General features: G+C 38.2%; 1 annotated feature.

Annotated features, from left to right (window-relative positions):
• Window positions 8,570-9,464: an enhancer, noted in NCBI's record as "OCT4-NANOG hESC enhancer chr2:35661639-35662533 (GRCh37/hg19 assembly coordinates)". NCBI's record gives its function as "activates a minimal SCP1, AML or CMV promoter by ChIP-STARR-seq in primed H9 embryonic stem cells {active_cell/tissue: H9 hESC(primed)}" and the evidence as "EXISTENCE:reporter gene assay evidence [ECO:0000049][PMID:30033119]".

The raw sequence follows: 22,995 nt of genomic DNA, 5'->3' as shown, positions 1-22,995 counted from the left end.
AGAAAAATAACATCTTAACATAGGTAATTGACCCTGATGATCAGGAGGAAACATAGCTGATGCTAGATAAAGTTTCTGCCAGGGCAGGGAGGAATATTTTTAGGATTTTAGAGATCCATTTGGAAATTTCATATTACTCTTGTATCCAACTGATAGTAAAAGTGCACCAGTCTGGGCCTGAGATGTTATGGTAAGCAAGAGATCATACCTCTCAAGAATGAGGGTCTGGATGACCCCACAAGGAAAGCTAACTAAACTAGTAAAGGTGCTAAACAAGGGTGAGTGAAATCTAGAATGAACATTTTAAGAAGTTTATATTAAGCATTAGTTACATTCTTAAGACTAACTGCAGGGGCAGGGCCTTAATTTGACTCACTATCCCTCCTATTGTAAGAACCTCCCAAGGAAAAGGGGCCACAGAGGATGAAGTTTTGAGAGAAATACTTCTGGACCTCATCTGAATCAAGTGTATCAGACAGCTCAATAAATTAACTTTAGATGCTTAACTTTTTTTGTCCAGATTTCTCTTCAGTCCAGCTGCTAGGGAATTTGCCAGTGGAGGCTGTCAGTTGTCAGCCCTTTCTAGTAATTTCCCTTGGGCCAAAAAAGTCTAGTAATTCCCTTGGAAATAAGGTCACAACCGTATTTCAAGGCATCTTGTATCAAATCACTGGTCAATGCAGTAGTATAAAGCATTTGGCTCCCTCACCTCCAAATCAGCACATGTCTCCAGGGACATCCACAGCTCTTCATAATTGACTGAATCTTTTTCAAGACAGCATTCAGTCAAGTTATTTCTTTGCCAGTTCTGCTTTCTTTACTTCCCCTAAAGATGGTGATTTTAGGAGCACTACCTAAGAAACTTCTTGTATGCTAATCTTTGACTTGGAGTTGACTTCTAAGCCCCATCATACAACAAAAAGTTCTTTACCTTCTCTTATTCTCAGATAATTTTCTATTTCCTTTTTCTAAATGATGGATAATAGTCTAACACAGAGAGTTGTCATGGTGATTGAGCAATGCACAATAAAATGCCCAGTAAATTGCCTTGAGTATCTGGATATTCAATTAACTGCTAATTGCCTTATTTACTTTGCCTCCCAAAGTAACAAAGTGACAATTGATAATTAGCAGAATTGATTATTAAAAGTATGTATTATATAATTTCTTCTGATTTGCAAATGTCTTTTTGATGGTGTCATGTATGATAATCATTTTAAAAACAGATAACTATTTTTGTTTTAATTACTATTGTCATATTATCAGAATACAGTTCAACAGCAAACTTTACTTCAACAACTCCTTTAGCCTATTTATGATTCTAACTCATCCTTTAGGATTGAATAGTCAATAAGCATCAACAGAGCACATTTTTAGCAACTGTGACCATGGTTTGAAATTATATACCTTAGGACTTGAATGCAATTCAATTCAACGATGTTTGCACCTATTACTTGGGGTTAGTTAATACAAGTCTACCAAGGGAAAGGTATACCTGAATTTGAGTTTAAAGTATAAGTAGTAGTTGATTAGATGGAAAGAGAGAAGTCATTTAAGTAAAGAGAACCACGTGTGTAAAATTTTAGGGTGATGAAAGGGTGTGTACAGATGGCTGTGAATGAGCTGAGAGGTGATAGGCCATGAAATGTAACAGGTGTAAATGTAATATATTGAATTGAGGTTGAAAAAATCATTGTCACCTATACAGAATATGGTTTGCTTTGTTTCTGAAAATTTATATGAATTATGTAAAAATCTTGGGCCACAGACCTCATGTGGTTCAACAGTGACACCGCTGTGGTAGCTAAAACCAAACAAAACCTGTTGTGCAAGTAGACACATGACATTTGTCTATTTACTCCACATAGGAACTGTTGTGTTCAGATGTGGTTATCATATTGAAAGAAAGACATTTAAAAACTTCAAAAGGGAAAGTTGGATCTAGAACATTCTGGAAAAAAAACTCCACTTGAACGCATGCAAGTAGTTTTTAGACAAAATTCTTGAAGATAGGAATTTATTCCAATTAATGATTAAAATTGTATTCTTGGACATCAGCATTATTTTGTAATTAGTCATGTTAGCCCTCTGCTGCTATATAATTTCACAAATTGTCTAATGTTTTCTATAGGTCAAATACGAACTTTTATAATAAACAATGAGACCAGAACAATCAGCTAAACAACAGATAACTCTGTGGGCCAGAATGTTGGTCAGACCTACTTTTAAAAAGCCTAGAAACTCTTAAGCAGATTTGTTTGGTATGTACCTGCCTATGAAGTTCCTTGTTATTTCCTTTGATCTGACTTTTTGTCTGATTCTGATCATTGCATTGGCTTTCAACTCTGTTCAGTTTTAACACGTTGCTGAGTGTTGTGATTGTTGTTCTAGAACTTTAAAAATCTATCCTTTCTTTGATTTGGAGACATGTGGGTAAAGGAAGCTGGCTAGGAAGCATGCATAGCTGGTTGCTCTTGTGAGAATATGAGACAAGAAATGGCAAAGTATACCTCTTACCTGCAACTAAAGTGCATGAATTTCTGGAAAAGATTGTTGATTGATGTCAGCATTCATTTTCTACTTATTCAGTTTAGAACTGGGATGCTAAGTCCCCTCTCTGTTTCAGCTAGATAACCAGGATTAGCAATTTCAGACTACATTTTCCAGACTCCCTTGCTGTCAGTTTTGGGTATCTGAGCAAAAGTGATGTATTCATGTCTGGATCATTTCTTTAAGAAGGAAACTGCTTGCTCTTCACTTCCTCTTTCTCTTTTCTGATCTCCAGAAAATAAACAAACCCAGAAATAGAAGCTACATATAAAGCATAAGAGCAATTCCTCAAAATTCTATCTTCCCCTTATGACCTTACTTTTGGAAATCTGTTGTTATACCAGCTTAGTTTAAACCATATAAATTAGTGAATCATAGACATCAATCAATAAATTAAGAGAAAATAGCAAGTGCTGTGACTTGGCATGTGAGTGGATCACTGATATCAGCCATGGGAATCAAGAGTAAATAAAAATATTTTTTCCAGAGTGAGATGACAGGTCCACAGTATAAGTAGAAGCAGGAATCCAAAGGGAAATCTAAAGATGTAGGAAAGCTGAGGAGAAGAAATGGCAACAGTAGAATTTTGCAAAATTGACTCTATTATTTAAATACATGGCCAATGCTCCTGGCAACTTTATAAGAACTCCTAATTGGAATAGCATAGACACCTCGACCATAATAGATATTTAATTTTAGATTTCCATTACAGATTCATTATTTTCCCAGAGTTCAACTCTAAGCTGTGACATAGAGTCACGAAGAGGAGGGACTCTTGTATACTATTTAAAAGCATGTGCTGTAGAGTCACTTAGACTTAATTCAAAATATCTGTTCCTTCTCTTACTGTAACCAGACTTTCTGAAATTGTTTTTTATTCCATAAATCAGGACGGTAATTGTCAGGCCTCTGAGCCCAAGCTAAGCCATCATATCCCCTGTGACCTGCACCTACACATCCAGATGGCCGGTTCCTGCCTTAACTGATGACATTCCACCACAAAAGAAGTGAAAATGGCCTGTTCCTGCCTTAACTGATGGCATTATCTTGTGAAATTCCTTCTCCTGGCTCATCCTGGCTCAAAAGCTCCCCTACTGAGCACCTTGGGACCCCCACTCCTGCCCGCCAGAAAACAACCCCCCTTTTTCCTTTACCTACCCAAATCCTATAAAATGGCCCCACCCCTATCTCCCTTCGCTGACTCTCTTTTCGGACTCAGCCTGCCTGCACCCAGGTGAAATAAACAGCTTTATTGCTCACACAAAGCCTGTTTGGTGGTCTCTTCACACGGACGCAAGTGAAATTTAGTACCGTGACTCAGATCGGGGGGACCTCCCTTGCGAGATCAATCCCCTGTCCTCTTCCTCTTTGCTCTGTGAGAACGATCCACCTACAACCTCGGGTCCTCAGACCAACCAGCCCAAGAAACATCTCACCAATTTCAAATCCGGTAAGTGGCCTCTTTTTACTCTCTTCTCCAACCTCCCTCACTATCCCTCAACCTCTCTCCTTTCAACCTTGGTGCCACTCTTCAATCTCTCCCTTCTCTTAATTTCAATTCCTTTCATTTTCTGGTAGAGACAGAGACACGTTTTATCCGTGGACCCAAAACTCCAGCGCCGGTCACGGACTAGGAAAGGCAGCCTTCCCTTGGTGTTTAATCATTGCAGGGACACCTCTCTAATCAGAGAGGTTTCAGAGGTGTCAGGCCCCACAGGGACGCCTGCCTTGGTCCTTCACCCTTAGCGGCATGTCCTGCTTTTCTGGGGGAGGGACAGGAACCCAACCTCTTATCTCTGTGCCCCGATCCCTTATTTCCATGCCCCAACCCCTTCTCTGCTTTTCTGGAGGGCAAGAACGCCCCACCCCTTCTCTGTGTCTCTACTCTCTTTTCTCTGGGCTTGCCTCCTTCACTATGGGCAAGGTTTCAGCTTCCATTCCTCCTTCTTCTCCCTTAGCCTGTGTTCTTAAGAACTTAAAACCTCTTCAACTCTCACCTGACCTAAAATCTAAGCATCTTATTTTCTTCTGAAATGCCGCTTGACCCCAATACAAACACGACAACAGTTCCAAATAGCCAGAAAACGGCACTTTCAATTTTTCCATCCTACAAGATCTAAATAATTATTGTCATAAAATGGGCAAATGGTGTGAGGTGCTGGATGTCCAGGCATTCTTTTACACATCAGTGCCTCCCTAGTCTCTGTTCCCAGTGCAGCTCCTCCCAAATCTTCCTTCTTTCCTTCCCGCCTGTCCCTCAGTCCCAACCCCAAGCATCTCTGAGTCTTTCTAATCTTCCTTTTCTACAGACCTATCTGACCTCTCCCCTCCTCGCCAGGCCGAGCTAAGTCCCAATTCTTCCTCAGCCTCCGCTCCTTCATCCTGTAATCCTTTTATCATCTCCCCTCCTCACACCCGGTCCGGCTTACAGTTTCGTTCCGTGACTAGCCCTCCCCCACCTGCCCAGCAATTTACTCTTAAAAAGGTGGCTGGAGCTAAAGGCATAGTCAAGGTTAATGCTCCTTTCTCTTTATCCCAAATCAGATAGCGTTTTCATCAAACATAAAAATCCAGCCCAGTTCGTGGCTCGTTTGGCAGCAGCCCTGAGACGCTTTACAGCCCTAGACCCTAAAAGGTCAAAAGGCCATCTTATTCTCAAAATACATTTTATTACCCAATCTGCTCCCGACATTAAATAAAACTCCAAAAATTAAATTCCGGCCCTCAAACCCCACAACAAGACTTAATTAACCTCGCCTTCAAGGTGTACAATAATAGAGGCAGCCAAATAGCAACATATTTCTGAGTTGCAATTCCTTGCCTCCACTATGAGACAAACCCCAGCCACATCTCCAGCACACAAGAACTTCCAAACGCCTAAACCACAGCGGCCAGGCGTTCCTCCAGAAACGCCTCCCCCAGGAGCTTGCTACAAGTGCCAGAAGTCTGGCCACCAGGCCAAGGAATGCCCGCAGCCCGGGATTCCTCTTAAGCCATGTCTCATCTGTGCGGGACCCCACTGGAAATCGAACTGCTCAACTCACCTAGCAGCCACTCCCAGAGCCGCTGGAACTCTGGCCGGAGGCTCTCTGACTCCTTCCCAGATCTTCTCGGCTTAGCGGCTGAAGACTGACGCTGCCCGATCTCCTCGGAAGCCCCGTAGACCATCACAGACGCTAAGCTTTAGGTAACTCTCACAGTGGAGGGTAAGTCCGTCCCCCTAATCAATACAGAGCCTATCCACTCCACATTACCTTCTTTTCAAGGGCCTGTTTCCCTTGCCTCCATAACTGTTGTGGGTATTGATGGCCAGGCTTCTAAACCTCTTAAAACTCCCCAACTCTGGTGCCAACTTAAACAATACTCTTTTAAGCACTCCTTTTTAGTTATCCCCACCTGCCCAGTTCCCTTATTAGGGCGAGCCACTTTAACTAAATTATCTGCTTCCCTGACTATTCCTGGATTACAGCCACATCTCGCTGCCACCCTTCTTCCCAATCCAAAGCCTCCTTTGCATCCTCCTCTTGTATTCCCCCACCTTAACCCACAAGTATGAGATACCTCTACTCCCTCCTTGGTGACCGATCATGCACCCCTTACCATCTCATTAAAACCTAATCACCCTTACCTCTCTCAATGCAAATATCCCATCCCACAGCACACTTTAAAAAGATTAAAGTCTGTTATCATTCGCCTGTTACAGCATGGCCTTTTAAAGCCTATAAACTCTCCTTACAATTTCCCCATTTTACCTGTCCTAAAACCAGACAAGACTTACAGGTTAGTTCAGGATCTGCGCCTTATCAACCAAATTGTTTTGCCTATCCACCCCATGGTGCCAAACCTATAAACTCTCATATCCTCAATACCTCCCTCCACAATCCATTATTCTGTTCTGGATCTCAAACATGCTTTCTTTACTATTCCTTTGCACCCTTCATCCCAGCCTCTACTTCGCTTTCACTTGGACTGACCCTGACTCCCATCAGGCTCACAAATTACCTGGGCTGTACTGCCGCAAAGCTTCACAGACAGCCCCCATTACTTCAGTCAAGCCCAAATTTATTCCTCATCTGTTACCTATCTCGGCATAATTCTTGTAAAAACACATGTGCTCTCCCTGCTAATCGTGTCCCACTAATCTCCCAAACCTCAATCCCTTCTACAAAACAACAAGTCCTTTCCTTCCTGGGCATGGTTGGATACTTTCGCCTTTGGATACCTGGTTTTGCCATCCTAACAAAACCATTATATAAACTCACAAAAGGAAACCTAGCTGACCCCATAGATCCTAAATCCTTTCCCCACTCCTCTTTCCGTTCCTTGAAAACAGCTTTAGAGACTGCATCCATCCTAGCTCTCCCTGACTCATCCCAACCCTTTTCATTACACACAGCCGAAGTGCAGGGCTATGCAGTCAGAATTCTTACACAAGGACCAGGATCACATCCTGTAGCCTTTGTCCAAACAACTTGATCTTACTGTTTTAGGCTGGCCATCATGTCTCCGTGTAGCAGCTGCTGCCGCCTTAATACTTTTAGAGGCCCTAAAAATCACAAACTATGCTCAGCTCACTCTCTACATTTCTCATAACTTCCAAAATCTATTTTCTTCCTCACACCTGACGCATATACTTTCTGATCCCTGGCTCCTTCAGCTGTACTCACTCTTTGTTGAGTCTCCCACAATTACCATTGTTCCTGGCCCAGATTTCAATCCGGCCTCCCACATTATTCCGGATACCACACCTGACCCTCATGACTGCATCTCTCTGATCTACCTGATGTTCACCCCATTTCCCCATATTTTCTTCTTTCCTGTTCCTCACCCTGATCACACTTAGTTTATTGATGGCAGTTCCACCAGGCCTAATCGCCACACACCAGCAAAGGCAGGCTATGCTATAGTACAAGCCACTAGCCCACCTCTTAAAACCTCTCATTTCCTTTCCATCGTGGAGATCTATCCTCAAGGAAATAACTTCTCAGTGTTCCAATTGCTATTCTACTACTCCTCAGGGATTATTCAGGCCCCTTCCCTTCCCTACACATCAAGCTCAGGGATTTGCCCCCACCCAGGACTGGCAAATTAGCTTTACTCAACATGCCCCGAGTCAGAAAACTAAAATACCTCTTAGTCTAGGTAGACACTTTCACTGGATAGTTAGAGGCCTTTCCTATAGGGTCTGAGAAGGCCACCGCAGTCATTTCTTCCCTTCTGTCAGACACAATTCCTCAGTTTAGCCTTCCCACCTCTGTACAGTCTGCTAACAGACCAGCCTTTATTAGTCAAATCAGCCAAGCAGTTTTTCAGGCTCTTAGTATTCAGTGAAACCTTTATATCCCTTATGGTCCTCCGTCTTCAGGAAAAGTAGAACGGACTAAAGGTCTTTTAAAAACACACCTCACCAAGCTCAGCCACCAACTTAAAAAGGACTGGACAATACTTTTACGACTTTCCTTTCTCAGAAGTCAGGCCTGTCTTCAGAATGCTACAGGGCACAGCCCATTTGAGCTCCTGTATAGATGCTCTTTTTATTAGGCCCCAGTCTCACCCCAGACACCAGACCAACTTAGACTGTGCCCCAAAAAACTTGTCATCCCTACTATTTTCTGTCTAGTCATACTCCTGTTCACCATTCTCAACTACTCATACATGCCCTGCTCTTGTTTACATTGCCGGTTTACATTGTTTCTCCAAGCCATCACAGCTGATATCTCCTCGTGCTATCCCCAAACTGCCACTCTTAACTCTTGAAGTAAATAAATAATCTTTGCTGGCAAGGCTATGCTGAACCTCTTTAAGCACTCTCTAATTAGATGTCCTAAGTCCTCCCAATTCTTAATCCTTTAATACCTGTATTTCTCCTTCTCTTATTCCGTTTAGTTTTCAATCCATAAAAGCCATATTCAGGCCATCACCAATAATTCTACATGACAAATGTTTCTTCTAACAACCCCACAATATCACCCCTTACCACAAAATCTTCCTTCAGCTTAATCTCTCCCACTCTAGGTTCCCACGCCGCCCCTAATCCCGCTCGAAGCAGCCCTGAGAAACATCACCCATTATCTCTCCATACCACCCCCAGAAAATTTTCACCGTCCCAACACTTTACCACTATTTCATTTTATTTTTCTTATTAATATAAGAAGACAGGAATATCAGGCCTCTGAGCCCAAGCTAAGCCATCATATCCCCTGTGACCTGCACCTACACATCCAGATGGCCGGTTCCTGCCTTAACTGATGACATTCCACCACAAAAGAAGTGAAAATGGCCTGTTCCTGCTTTAACTGATGGCATTATCTTGTGAAATTCCTTCTCCTGGCTCATCCTGGCTCAAAAGCTCCCCTACTGAGCACCTTGGGACCCCCCACTCCTGCCCACCAGAGAACAACCCCCCTTTTTCTTTTACCTACCCAAATCCTATAAAACGGCCCCACCCTGTCTCTCTTCACTGACTCTCTTTTCAGACTCAGCCCGCCTGCACCCAGGTGAAATAAACAGCTTTATTGCTCACACAAAGCCTGTTTGGTGGTCTCTTCACAAGGACGCGAGTAAAAGTAATACCTACTACAGAGAGTACATTTAAATTTAAATAAATAAAAAATATCTAAAGGGATTAGCATATTCCCTGGCACATAGGAAACTTGCATTTAAACACCTTATTGTTATGATGTGTTACTGACAACACCACCATTACTGATGCCTGTTTCCTTCAATGACTAAACTAATTGTTATTCAAATATATAAATTTGGATACATATCTTTTTTTAATTTTTTATGGATCCCATCCCACCGTAGACAAGGAAAAATATGTAACTAGAAAAAGAAGCAGTGAGAAGCTTACATCTACTTTCTTAACTCATAGTGACTACCGACCCAAAGACATTTTTAGTGTGGAAACTGAAGTCTTCTCTGGAGTTTTTCATCTATGCAGAGTGCTGTACTCTTTCTCGGTTTTCAAGTCACAATTTCATATGGGTCAAGGTCCTGATGTTTAATGATAAATGACAATGAGAACAGCTTCATCGAATGACAACAAATTAAATTAGCAAAGACCACAGGTCTCCCTGCTTTGCTTACTAAGCTTAGAATCTAACAAATAGCTCCCTGCATGTATATTAGAATTATTATGAATAGATTTTCCAGTACAAAGAAATATCATGTTTATAAGTATTCATATGGACCGTTTTAAGTTCTAGTAACTTTAAATGAGATAGGTAGAGCTCCTGAAGAATGCAATGAATCACTGGAGCTGAACTTTAACAACCGTTCAACATCTAATCAGTTGAATTAGAGCCATTTTGTAAGAGGGTTAATCAATTCTCTAGCTTTAGCTGCCCCAATGCTTCTGAAATTTGCTGATGTTATCATTACATTGGAAGGAGACACTCTGCATTTTAATAGAAGCATTTCTTTTAGAACCTTAGTGGTACAACAGAGACCAAACATTAAAAAAATATATTTTCTGTAAAATGAGGGCTTTACTGGGACAAGATTATGTCCTTATCTGCATAATAAGATGAAATAATATATCAAACATTATAACTTCCTGAAGTGCTGCTTGGTAGATACTATGTGTAATGAAGTATCTGGCATAGATTAGGATTTATGTAAACATTTTCTAATATTGTTCTTCATGTTAATGTTACTACAGTGGTCTGTTGACCAAACACTTGAATACAGTGGCTTGACCACCATGTTATATAACATAAAGGCCTCAGAAAAAAAGTATCTTTTTCATTCCCAAAAATATATTTTTCATTAAAATTCTCATATTAACTTATCATTAAAATATCATGTGACAAAAAGCAAGAGAAGGAAGTTTTTAGTTTAAGAAGAACCTATATATATATAGAACAACTGTTAGCAGATACAAATCTGTATGGGTCTGCAGCAACTCATTTCTTGCCACTTGAAAGGAAAGATTTTGTGCCTACCATAAGGCAGAGTGAGAGACCGAGGCAAGTTTTACAGTGGAGTGAAAGTTTATTAAAAAGTTTTAGAGCAGAAATGAAAGGAAGTAAAGTACACTTGGAAGAGGGCCAAGTGGGCAACTTAAGAGATCCAAATTTGTTGTATGACCCTTGACATGGGGTTTTATACATTGCCATAGTTCTGGGGTTTATGACTCTTCTGCCCTGAGTTTTCTCTTGGGGTGGGCTGTCCGTATGTGCAGTGGCCTGCCAGCACTTGGGAGGAGCTGCATGCACAGTGTGTTTACTGAAGTTGTACACGTGCTCATTTGAGGCATTTTCCCTTAACAGTAAAGCGTTGGAAGGTCATATACAGTTAAATGCCGTTATTTTGCCCCTTAGTGCACATGCTAGAGGCCACTCACCCAACTCTTGAAATCTTATTGGGAAGCTGCTGATCACCAGATTCAGGTGTTTTCTATCTATTGGGAGCCCATTTCCTTGGCATGGCTGCAACAAATCGTTATTTTAGAGAGACAGTTTAACAACCACCTGACTGTCACCTGATGGTTGCCTGACATTTGCATAACTAGCTATTCTAAGACAACTACCTATCAGGCATGGGATTGAGAGCTGTAGATATAGTAACTCATTTAATCCTTACAACACTAAACACTATACCATATTATTACCATTGCCAGTCATTAATAGCTAATTTTAAATGACTTTAAAACATTAGTGAATTAGTGAAGCTAGTAGGGTTCTGAGGATGTTGGGAATTCAATGCTGGGAAACTGTTTTAGAAACCTAGGTATATCTAGATTTTAAATGTTATATTAAGTCATGTATTAATGAATTTTATTGTACCTAATTATGACTTAGCAGTTTCAAAATATATTATGCTCTTCTAAGTTTGACCCTGTACCTCAAGATATATGAGGCTAACAATGCAAGACAGAGAAATGCAAGGCACTGTATGTAGTATATTCAAGAGATGATGAGCAAAAATGCCTTAAGGTAAAATGTGTTGCATTTATAAGATGTCTCCAGCTTTATATACTGTCTACCTTAAACTATCATTAAACTAAACATTCTTTACATATAAGAAAAAATTATAGAAATCTTTTTGTATCCTCAAAGGATGCCAGAAAATAATCTTTTTATAAAACAAGAGAATACCAAAAAGATGAAAAGAAATGTGGTTGAGAAAAGGACAGCTTCTGAAGAAATAGGAAATGCATGAATATAATTAATGAGAGATTATTATGTGCTAAGGACTCTTCATGCTTCATATGTATTAAGTCATTTATTTCTATAATCAATCTATAGATTTGGTACTTTTAATATCTGATATAGTTTGGCTCTGTGTCCTCACCCAAATCTTGTCTTGTAGCTCCCATAATTCCCACGTATTGTGGGAGATACTGATTGGGAGATGATTGAATCATGGGTATGGGTCTTTCCTGTGCCATTCTCATGATAGTGAATGGGTCTCATGAAATCTGATGGTTTTAAAAATGGGAGTTTCTCTACACAATTTCTCTTTTTGACTGCCGCCATCCGTGTAAGATATGACTTGCTTCTCTTTGCCTTGCACCGTGATTCTGAGGCCTCCACAGCCATGTGGAACTGTGAGTCCAATTAAGCCCCTTTCTTTTGTAAATTGCCCAGTCTTGGATATGTCTTAATCAGCAGCACGAAAATGGACTAATACATATCCCATTTCAAAGATGAGATAGTCAGAAAATAAAGAGGTGCTGAAAAAACAAACAGAAAAAATAAAAATAAAAAGACCTACAAGAATCAAGCTGGAAGAAGATATGTCATGGCCAAAGTCTGACAATTTAAGCAACAAAATAGTATTGAATTATAACCTAAAGTATGAAATAAATATACAGGAGTCCATATGATATAAATAAATTATTGAAAAGATAACAATGTAGAAAAGAGTCAAATCTTCTTTACAGAAAAATTTCAAAAGTTTATGTAGATATATAGATATTCCCTCTCTGCCCCTGCAAGTGAAGCCAAATTTCCCATTCTCCCTTCCCTCCCTGTGTTCAGGCTGTATTTAGTGACTTGCTTTCAAAGACTAAGGTATGAAAGGGAAAACTTTAACCTTATAATGGAGAAACCTGGTAGGCACTATCTTGGCCAGGTAATAAAGGATAACATCATTGGTGATAAGTCATGCCAATAGCTTATATCCCTAATATAATGTGATCAGTAGGGCATTTTACTTCTGAGTTATTTTTTTCCTAAAAATCACAACCCCATTATAACTATGGAAAAGGCATCACAGAAAACCCACATCGGGTGCCATGCTACAAAATACATGATCAGTAACCCTCAAAATTGTAAAGAGAATAAAGAACAAGGAAAAAAACTAAAAAATCTGTCAAAGACTGGAGCTAACTTAGGAGACATAATGACTAAATGCAATGAGAAATCCTAGATTGAATCCTGGAACAATTAAAAAAAAAGCATGTTAGACAAACAATAAATGAAATATACATAAAATCTGAAGCTTATGAATAGTACTGTAACAATGTTGATTTCTTAGTTGTGATAAATCTACCACAGTAATATGAGAAGTTAATAATAGGAGAAAATGGTGGGAGTATATGGGAACTCTCTGCTCTCTTTGCAAATTTTCTATAAATCTAAAACTATTCTAAGGCAAAAAAGTTTATTTAAAGATATCATTAGAGTCTGTTTCTGATATCACTCACTCTCCCAGAAATAAGACCAACTTGTACAACTTCTTGATGTACAACATCAGGAAGTGAAAGCTACCTGAAGGCAGTGGATAATTAGCAAATATAAGCAGATTATAGAGGGGTGTTGACACTTGGAAATGGGGATGGCTCAGTGTTACCTGTGTGTATAGTTTTCAGCTGAGGACAGGCCACAGACACAATGCAGGGTGGCCAAAACTTCAATAAAAACATCCTCAATCATGTCCTTCTGATCTTAAAGAGCCAAAGGACACGTTTCAGACAACCATAGTTGTTAGAATGCAATGAGAGGAAGGAGGATCATGAAGAAGAGACAGCCAGAAGGAAAGCCCAAAATCCTGTGTATAAACTCTGTCCCAGTCTCTGGAGGAACCTGAGGCACACATACAAACAGCCCATCTAATGATAAAAGAACTGAATTTCAGATTTGAGCTGATTCCAAAGAACAGAGTTTAAAGTTTGAGTCCAACTATGGGAATTGCCTGAAATGACAAAGTCTACATTTTTCTCAAGAATGATATAATTAATCTGCAGGAAGTGAAAGTGTCTACATGTATTATTATTACTATTGGGGGTTCTCCTATACAGAAGATTTTTTTTCTCTTCTCCTCACATTTAATTGTTTGTTTATCCAATCATTTATCTATATATGTGGGCTCACATACATTGATTTTATACTTTCTGCTATAATCCAGCACCACCTTATTTATTTTGTTATTCAGATATTTCCTGTTTTGTCCATTGGGACATCTTTCAGTTTGGCTTCTAAGTCCCTTTAACATGTTCCCACCCTTTTGTTTGTTGAGCACTTCTTATTTTCTAGCATGACAAGGGGTTCCTTGTTCATCTTACATTCTCCCTGTACCAACGTCCTGCCTGTGAGCTGGATTCAGTAAAGCATACCAAAAAGATTGTTTTATGTAATCTGACAAATCAATGTAAAAATATACGTGGAGTAATTAGATTGTAAGTGTAGCCAAAAACTTTAGGAGAATTGGTGGGGAGAGTAAATTGCATGGGTTCATAGGAAACAGGAAGGTTATTGTACCCTGTAACTATATATATTTCAAATGTATAGTAATTAAAGTTGTGCTATCAGCATTTAGATTTATACATAAACAAGTAGCAATGTAAGAAAATACATAATATGGAGCTCAGAAATTCATAAATATAACACAATTTAATGTAAACATTATATGTACAGTACAGAAATGGCCAATAGTATAGATCATTAGTATAGAAATGATCAATTAGTCAACAAACTGTGTTAGGAAAATCGTCTATTGGAAAAATTAAGTTAGCTTTATATCTAATACCTTCATAAGAATAAATTCTAGATATATGAACAACTGAAATAGATATTAAAAAAGATAACATTTACATGAGCACTCTAAATAAGATATTTGTTCTTTAAGAAAATATTAAATGAATACAAAGAAAAATATTCTCATGGCTTTTGTGGAAGGGAAGAACTAAAGAAATAAAAATAGTACAATACAGGAAGGATAAAAATATGTAAATTTATGTAATTCAATATTTAAAACATCTGAATACTAAAAAGAGAACAGAGTTGAAAAAATATCTGAAACCTATGTCAGACAAATTATCAGTGTTCACACATTTCATTAAGGAAAAATATTTCAATTTAAAAATGGGCAAAGTGTATGCATAAGCAATTCAAACCCAACAATGCAAGGGTCAATGAAAATATGACTGAAACTTAGTAGTAACCAGAATCATGTCAATCATTAAATTAATCAGATATCATTTTTCAGTCCACCATATTTGCAAAGGTTTTAGTCTCATCATATCAGTTTTGGCAAGAATATGGGGAGATTGGTAATCTCAATTGGTGCTGGTAGTATAAGTTTTGGAGGCAATTTGGAAGATTTTAATAACTTTAAAAATAAATATATCCTATGACTCAGTAAAACCATTTCTCAATATTGATTATAGATCCTGTGCACAGGAAAGCATGAACAAAAAAGTTATCTTTTAGTAACATTTATTATGGTAAAATATTCAAGCAGCCTAATTTGGGAAATGCTTCAATAAACTGTGGTGTGATAATTGCTATAGAAAACTTAGGAGCAATTAAAAAGAATAAAGAATGTGTACATGTACTATTCAGAAAAGATACCCAAAGTATATGTTTAAGACAAAAATTGTTTTAATAAAATATACATGATATGATTTATATAAAATGTAAGCAATCATAATGATAAAAATATGTTATATGGTCATATATGTAAATATATAAAAGTTCGTAGAAAGAAAAGGCGTATAAGCTTCCACAGCTACTTAAGGATTTGAGACAGAAATTTGGGATGAAGTGAGGACTTGAGTCTTAACTGACAAAGCTTTGTTTTTCATGAGGGAAACTTACTAAAATATTCCTTATAAAACCAAAACTGTCTTGAAATGACCACAAAAAAGTATATACTATTTAATTCATAAAACCAGTGTATTAAATGACATAACGTGGTTAACACATAGCCTGGTTGACAGAAGGATGTGGTAGTTGCATATGATATGTATATAATAGTATATGTGTATATGATATGACAGTATATGATAGTAAGAATAGAACAGTTTAGAAATATGTAGCAAAGGCACTAACAACGTCTCCAGCCTTTGTTTCAGAAAAGAGGAAACATAGTCCTTAGATATCTAAGAATTGAAAGACCCACCCCTAATGTGATAAAAATGTTTCTCTAAAACACAATTATCACATTATTCTTAACAATCCCCTCTACTAAAACTAGGACAAGATATAGATTACCTAAAATCACTATAGTATTGTTAAAAAATTCTGGCCAACGAGAGACAAATTCAAATTAAACAATAAAACAACGGATTATACTCACATAGCGACTAGAGAAAAAGAGCCTCATTATTTATTATTATTACTCAGTGTAACTTTTACTTGAGTGAAAAAGAAATGGGTAGAATTACAGCTGTTGCTCTAATAATTGTGTCTAGCTCTGACCACTTCCATTTTAATTTGTCACATATGTGAATATCATCAGCGATGACTTTTTCGCAGGGGGAAAAAAGTCCAAAAGATTAAAAAGGTATTGAATTACATAGTTCAATAAATGCAAAGCCTGCAAGTATGTGCAAAAGAATCAATAAACATCATACCATGGTGTACAAGGCCCTACATATTCCTGTCTCAGATACCACTTGGATCCCACTGACAGTTGGAGAGAGTATTCTTGAAATTCTTGTTTTTCTTTTTGTTTCCCAACATTTTACAGTACAATACACAACCAGCAAAACAGCACACATCTTGACATCTTTTTACATGTGACTGCCAACACTTTGCCTTAAGCCTGTCACAACCTTGAATCCTTGACAGGTTACATTTGTGTAAATAAAAGTGATTCCAAGGTCTTTGGCCACAGTCCTATAATTTCTTCCTTTCTTTTTCTTTTCTTTTTTTCTTTCTTTCTTTCTTTTTTTTTTTTTGAAATGGAGTCTGGCTCTGTTGCCAAGCTGGAGTGCAGTGGCGGGATCTCAGCTCGCTGCAACCTCCACCTCCCAAGTGCAAGTGATTCTCCTACCGCAGCCTACTAAGTAGCTGGGATTACAGGTGTGTGCCACAACGCCCTGCTAATTTTTGTATTTTTAGTAGAGATGTGGTTTCACCATGTTGGTCAGGCTGGTGTCGAACTCCTGATCTCCAGTGATCCGCCAGCCTCAGCCTCCCAAAGTGCTGAGATTACAGACGTGAGCCACCGGCCTAATTTCTTCCTTTCTATTGTTGGAATGGATTCAGGTTTTGTGGGCCCTGGTGCTTACACTCTTTGGAGGGTCCTTTTTAAAAAAGTAATTTAAAACTACCAATACCAAATTGAGGATGGAAATGAATATTTTTTTTTTAGAATGAGAAAAATAATGAACAAGTTATAACTGTTGAAAAGCTGACAAATACCACAAATATCACAAAGAAAGCCAAAATTACTGTTATTATTATTAACTAGAGAATCCAGCCCCTTGCTAGCTTGAAAGACTCTATAGTTTCTGACCCAGCGGCTGGTACAGCTTGGCCAAGAAGCAATGGGTTGGAGTTGGACTCCCTCCCAGCAGGGGGCAGAGCAGAGCTTTCTTCAGGTCCTTTGTTCATCTTTGCCAAGTTGTTAGGCTGATCCTTTACTTCTGTAATTTGATCATTTGCAGAGTGGGACTATAGTGAAGGAGAATATGAAATCTTCCTTCCCCTTTAGTCTTATAAGCAGTGATTTAATTTTTTTTAAAGTCTTGGTATAAGTAAATGCATGCTTACTATACAAAAAATGAAAGGTATAGAAAATATAAAGTAACAAGACCCTATTGCGTGAAGGCAATCACAGTTAATATTTTCATTTGTTTTCTTCCTGTTTTCTTTCTATCCATTTTACATAGTTATGAACACGCTGAACGAATACTTATTATTCAGCTTCATCACTTACCACTTTATTATGAATTTGTTCCCAAGTCATTAAAATTCTCTTAAATATTTATTAGGCTTATAATATTTTATTAACTATATATACCATAATTTACCAGTTATAATATCTATTGATGGATATTTAAATCATTTTGTCACTAATATAAATAATACTATCCTATCATCTTTGTATGTAAACATATGTCTGTATCTGTGATTATTTTCACTACATAGGCTTTTAGAAACAAAATTACAGGTTTCAGAAATCAAAATATTTGTGTGGCTCTAGGTGCACATTACCAAGAGTCTTACCCATAACCTTTCACTGCCACTGGCAGATTGTAAGATTACCTAGTTCGCAGCACCTTTTCAGCACTACTTAATAATTTAAACACATGTACCAATTTGAGAAATATAAAAAGGAACCTTTTTAACCATACATTATGTGATGATTGTGTCATGCTTTCCTTTTACTTTCAACTGTATATAATTTATTTACTTGGATACTTCATTTTATGATCACCTGATAATGCACATTAAGGATCGTCAAACTGTTCCTCTGCTATCACCACCTATTTCTTACATAGATGAATATTATGTCTAAATATGCTTTTTTACTTGTATTTTCCATTTTGAAAAATGTGGCTACTGCTGCTGGCCTAATCTTAAATAAAATAACATTACCATAATTGACAAACACATTTTATACTGACACCATTTTGAATATTTTGTTTACAAAGAGTTAAGAAATGCAGTGCCAATGTTCAAAGCAGTGGGGAATTAAAGGCAGAGATAGGGTCTATCAATCAATCAATCCATCAATCATCTATCTTCTTTACATATATCAATGCAAAGTAGCACATGCTTCAGATTTACTGCCCACAGGCAAATATAGGTTTGACAGAAAAACGTGGTCATTAAAACTTCGATTGCCTTAGTCAACTTCATAGAGGAGGAGAGCCATGAATTTTAGAAAAAGGATAAGTCAGAGCATCAGGGGGAGGACTAGAGAAAATAGTAAGATTGACTTGAGCAAGAGTTTTTAGTTGAGTAAATACCTGGCTTGAATTGGTAAGAAGATGTGGGACTGATCTGACTAGAGCTATAATTCAGTTGTTTTCAAATTTGGCTTTACAGGCATTGTATAGCACACTCTCTAACCTATGCCCCTGGCGTACTGCAGTGGAAAGGAGAGACATAAACGAGAGAGGGTCTTTGAAAGGTATATCCTATCAACATTCCTCTATCCCCAATTCCCAATTTCGTTTGTTTGCTTTTTGAAACAGGTTCTCACTCCCTCACCCAGGCTGGAATGTAGTGTTGTGATCTCAGCTCACTGCAACCTCCTCCTGCCTCCTCCTTCTCCTCCTACCTCCCACAAGAATCAAATGATTCTCCTGCCTCAGCCTCCCGAGTAGCTGGGATCACAGGCATGTGCCATCACGCCTGGCTAATTTCTGTATTTTTAGCAGAGACAGGGTTTCACCATGTTGGCCAGGCTGGTCTCGAACTCCTGACCTCAAACTATCTGCCTGCCTCAGCCTCCCAAAGTGCTAGGATTATAGGGGTGAGCCACCATGCCTGGCCTCCATCTCCAATCTTATCCACAGAAACTTTTCTCTTCTGTTCACATGCATATAGGGACCCAATGTAATATTTCATTTAAACATACGTGTGCTTTGTTAAAACAAGTTTGAAAAGTTCTGCTGAAGTGCTCAGAGGAGCAGGAGTATGGAAGGAAGCATGTAGAATAAGTGGACAGTAATATGTTGGTAAGAAAAATCCAGCAGAATGGTACAGGACAGATTTAATTGAAAAGAATGTGTTATGATGAGATAAACTTGAAGATTATTGCAAGTGTTCAACATTAATTAATCACCAATTGTTGGTGAGAAACCATTAGTTCAAGAGTAAAATGATAAATTCACTCAGGGATAACAGCAGTTGGGACTAAGAGAGGACATATAAGAGACATAAACGTAGAAAATCTCAGATTTGCTGAGAGAGAGAAAAGGAACATTCTAAAAAGAACTCAAATGTTTCAAACTGGTAACAAAATAAAATGGGACTCTTGTACAAATAAAAATGCTAAGTTTGGATTTTCACAGTGTAAATTTATTAGTTTGAAGAAATGTCAGAATAGTTAAGTAGAGTTGCTTAGCTGAAGAAAGAAACATAGGGCTATTTACATCTCCTACTGAGAGAGATTTTTGCAAATCCTCATAAAAACAATAACAGAAGACTAATGGACATGTCTTCTAAACAAGAAAGCTTAATATAAAAAGAGGGGATATAATATATGGAAGCCTTAGATTCTTTCTTGCTGAACACTGGAACATAAATAGATCCATTCAGGCAAAGAATGGAGTCAATAACAACTACTCCACCGCCACCACCCCATGCAAAAGTCTAGACTTCTTGTTAAAAGGCTTGTTTAATTTGTTTTTGTTTATTTGTTTTGGAGTGGAGGAGAGGAGGGTAATTTCATCAAATGTTAACTCCCCTGCCTGGTATTCAAGTTATTGTATAATCTATTCACACATTTCTTACTAAATTCCCAGGGGAGAACTAGCTTCTCCTATCTATCCCTTCAGCATTGCGGAATTGTTCTGAAGTTCTACCTGAAGTGAGAATAGTAAATCTATTGCTTGTGCGTGTTATTTGTGCCACAGTTGATTCTGCTTAGCTGGCTGTAAAGCAGTCATGAGTTTCCAACTGTTCCATTCCCCGTGCATCTCTTTGTTGAAGAATGCAACCTTCCAGATAGAGGAAGACCCTTCTTTACTTAGATGCACCTCTGTGATGGTTAAGTGTCAACTTGATTGGATTGAAGAATGCAAAATTTTGTTTCTGGGTGTGTCTGTGAGTGTGTTGCCATAGGAGATTAACATTTGAGTCAGTGGACTAGGAAAGGAAGACCCACCCTCCATCCAATTGGCTACCATGGTGGCTAGAAAAAGCAGGCAAAAGAAGGTGGAATAAGCTGGCTTGCTGAGTCTTCTGGTTTTCCTCTTTCTCCCATGCTGGATGCTTCTTGTCCTTGAACATCAGACTTCAGGTTATTTGGCCTTTGGACTCTTGGACTTATACTAGTGGTTTGCCAGGGACTATCCAGCCTTTGGCCACAGACTGAAGGCTGCACTGTCAGCTTCCCTACTTTTGAGGCTTTGGGACTGGAACTGAGCCACTACTGGCTTCCTCGCTCCTCAGCTTGCAGATGGCCTATCATGGAACTTCACATTGTGGTCATGTGAGTCAATTCTCCTTAATAAACTTTCCTTCATATATACATATATCCTATTAGTTCTGTCTCTCTGGAGAACTCTGGCTAATACAACATCTATGAACCATCAAAGAAGCTCACAAAGATCTGTCCGTAGGATAATATGGGACAGAAATGTTTACATGCTTCACTTTTACTAGAATGGTGCTTTTGCACATTTTCCTTTGACTTGCTTTTACTTTATGCCTATCTAATCCTCACTAAGTCCCAGTTCCAAATCATGCAAGAAAACTATTATATCCAAACAGATCAAATCTCTCTATTGTGTTGTACTGCAGTTTATAATCAGTATCACATAGTTAATATTTTTTCAGAGTCTTTGGGTCTCCAATGATAGGAACTTTATTTTAATCTCCTTTTTTTTTTTTATAATGCCTACTTTGGTTTTATGCATATAGGATGCTCTTTACAAATGCTTGTTCACTTATGGATTTATTTATGGTGGGTCGAAATAACAGACTATTTGGACAAAATTAAATGCAAATATCATTAATATTATTAATAAAAATAAAATAAATTAATAAAATTATTTAAAAAATGTATTAATAAAACTGCTTTCTAAAAAATATTTAACTTGTAAATATAAATGTAAGAAAATAATGAAACAAAGATAAACAGCTGACACTTAGATAACTTAAAGAGCTTTTGCATGGCAAAAGGAACAGTCAGCAGAGTAAACAAACACTAAAGAGAGTGGGAGAAAATCTTCACAATCTGTACATCTGACAAAGGACTAATATCTAGAATATACAAGGAACTCAAACAAATTAGCAAGAAAAAAACAAACAATCCCATCAAAAAGTGGGCTAAGGACATGAAAAGACAATTCTCAAAAGAAGATATACAAATGGCCAACAAACATGAAAAAATGCTCAACATCACCAATGATTAGGGAAATGCAAACCAAAACCACAAAATGATACCAACTTACTCCTACAAGAATGGCCACAATAAAAAAAAATCAAGAAATAATAGATGTTGGCATGGATGTGGTGAACAGGGAATACTTCTACACTGCTGGTGGGAATGTAAACTACTACAACCACTATGGAAAACATTGCGGAGATTCCTTAAGGAGGTAAAAGTAGAATTACCTTTTGATCCAGTAATCCCACTACTGAATATCTACCCAGAGGAAAAGAAGTCATTATACAAAAAAGATACTTGCACATGCATGTTTACAGCAGCACAATTCGCAATTGCAAAAATGTGGAACCAACCCAAATGCCCTTCAATCAATGAGTGGATAAAGAAGCTGTAGTATTATATATGATGGAATACTACTCAGCTATAAAAAGGAATGAATTAGTGGCATTCACAGCAACCTGGTTGAGATTGGAGACGATTATTCTAAGTGAATTAACACAAGGAATGGAAAACCAAACACGATATGTTCTCACTCATAAGTGGGAGCTAAGCTGTGAGGATGCAAAGACATAAGAATGACACAACGGACTTTGGGGACTCAGGGGGAAAGGGTGGGAAGGAGGTGAGGGATAAAAGACTACAAATTGAGTGCAGTGTGTACTGATCGGGTGATGGGTGCACCAAAATCTCACAAAGCACCACTAAAGAATTTACTCATGTAACCAAACACCACCTGTTCCCCAATAACCTATGGAAATTAAAAAATTAAAAAACAAAGAAAGAAAATAATCATTCTAGTATGTTCTTGTATCTCCTTTTTATTAAAAAAAAAAAAAGGCTTTCACCTATATCCATGTTTCTTAGCACTTAAAAATTAACAAACTGTGTCGGGAATGGAAGTCATCTAGGAACTTCTGTGGTTTTAAGCCACCAGACACGCTCCTGATAACACCTCTTCCTGATCTCATCTCATTGTCAGTCCCTTTCATCTCCATACTTCATTGTTGATGACTCTCCGTGTGCTCTCTCCTGCGTCCTGGACTTCCGGGCTTCCTGTTTTAGACACTTGTCTATGCCCAGCTCCTGGTTTATGGTTGCTCCATTTGTTCCATGCTCTTATACCAGCTTTTCTCATTCTGAACTATGTCCTAACTTGAATTAATCTTACCATAGTATTTCTGAAAGAAGAGCCCAAGCTCCTTT

The sequence above is a fragment of the Homo sapiens genome, chromosome 2 (assembly GCF_000001405.40).
Source record: "Homo sapiens chromosome 2, GRCh38.p14 Primary Assembly".
In the NCBI taxonomy this organism is placed as follows: Eukaryota; Metazoa; Chordata; class Mammalia; order Primates; family Hominidae; genus Homo; species Homo sapiens.
Note: the sequence above shows the minus strand (reverse complement) of the source record. Positions and strands in the feature narration are given on the sequence as shown.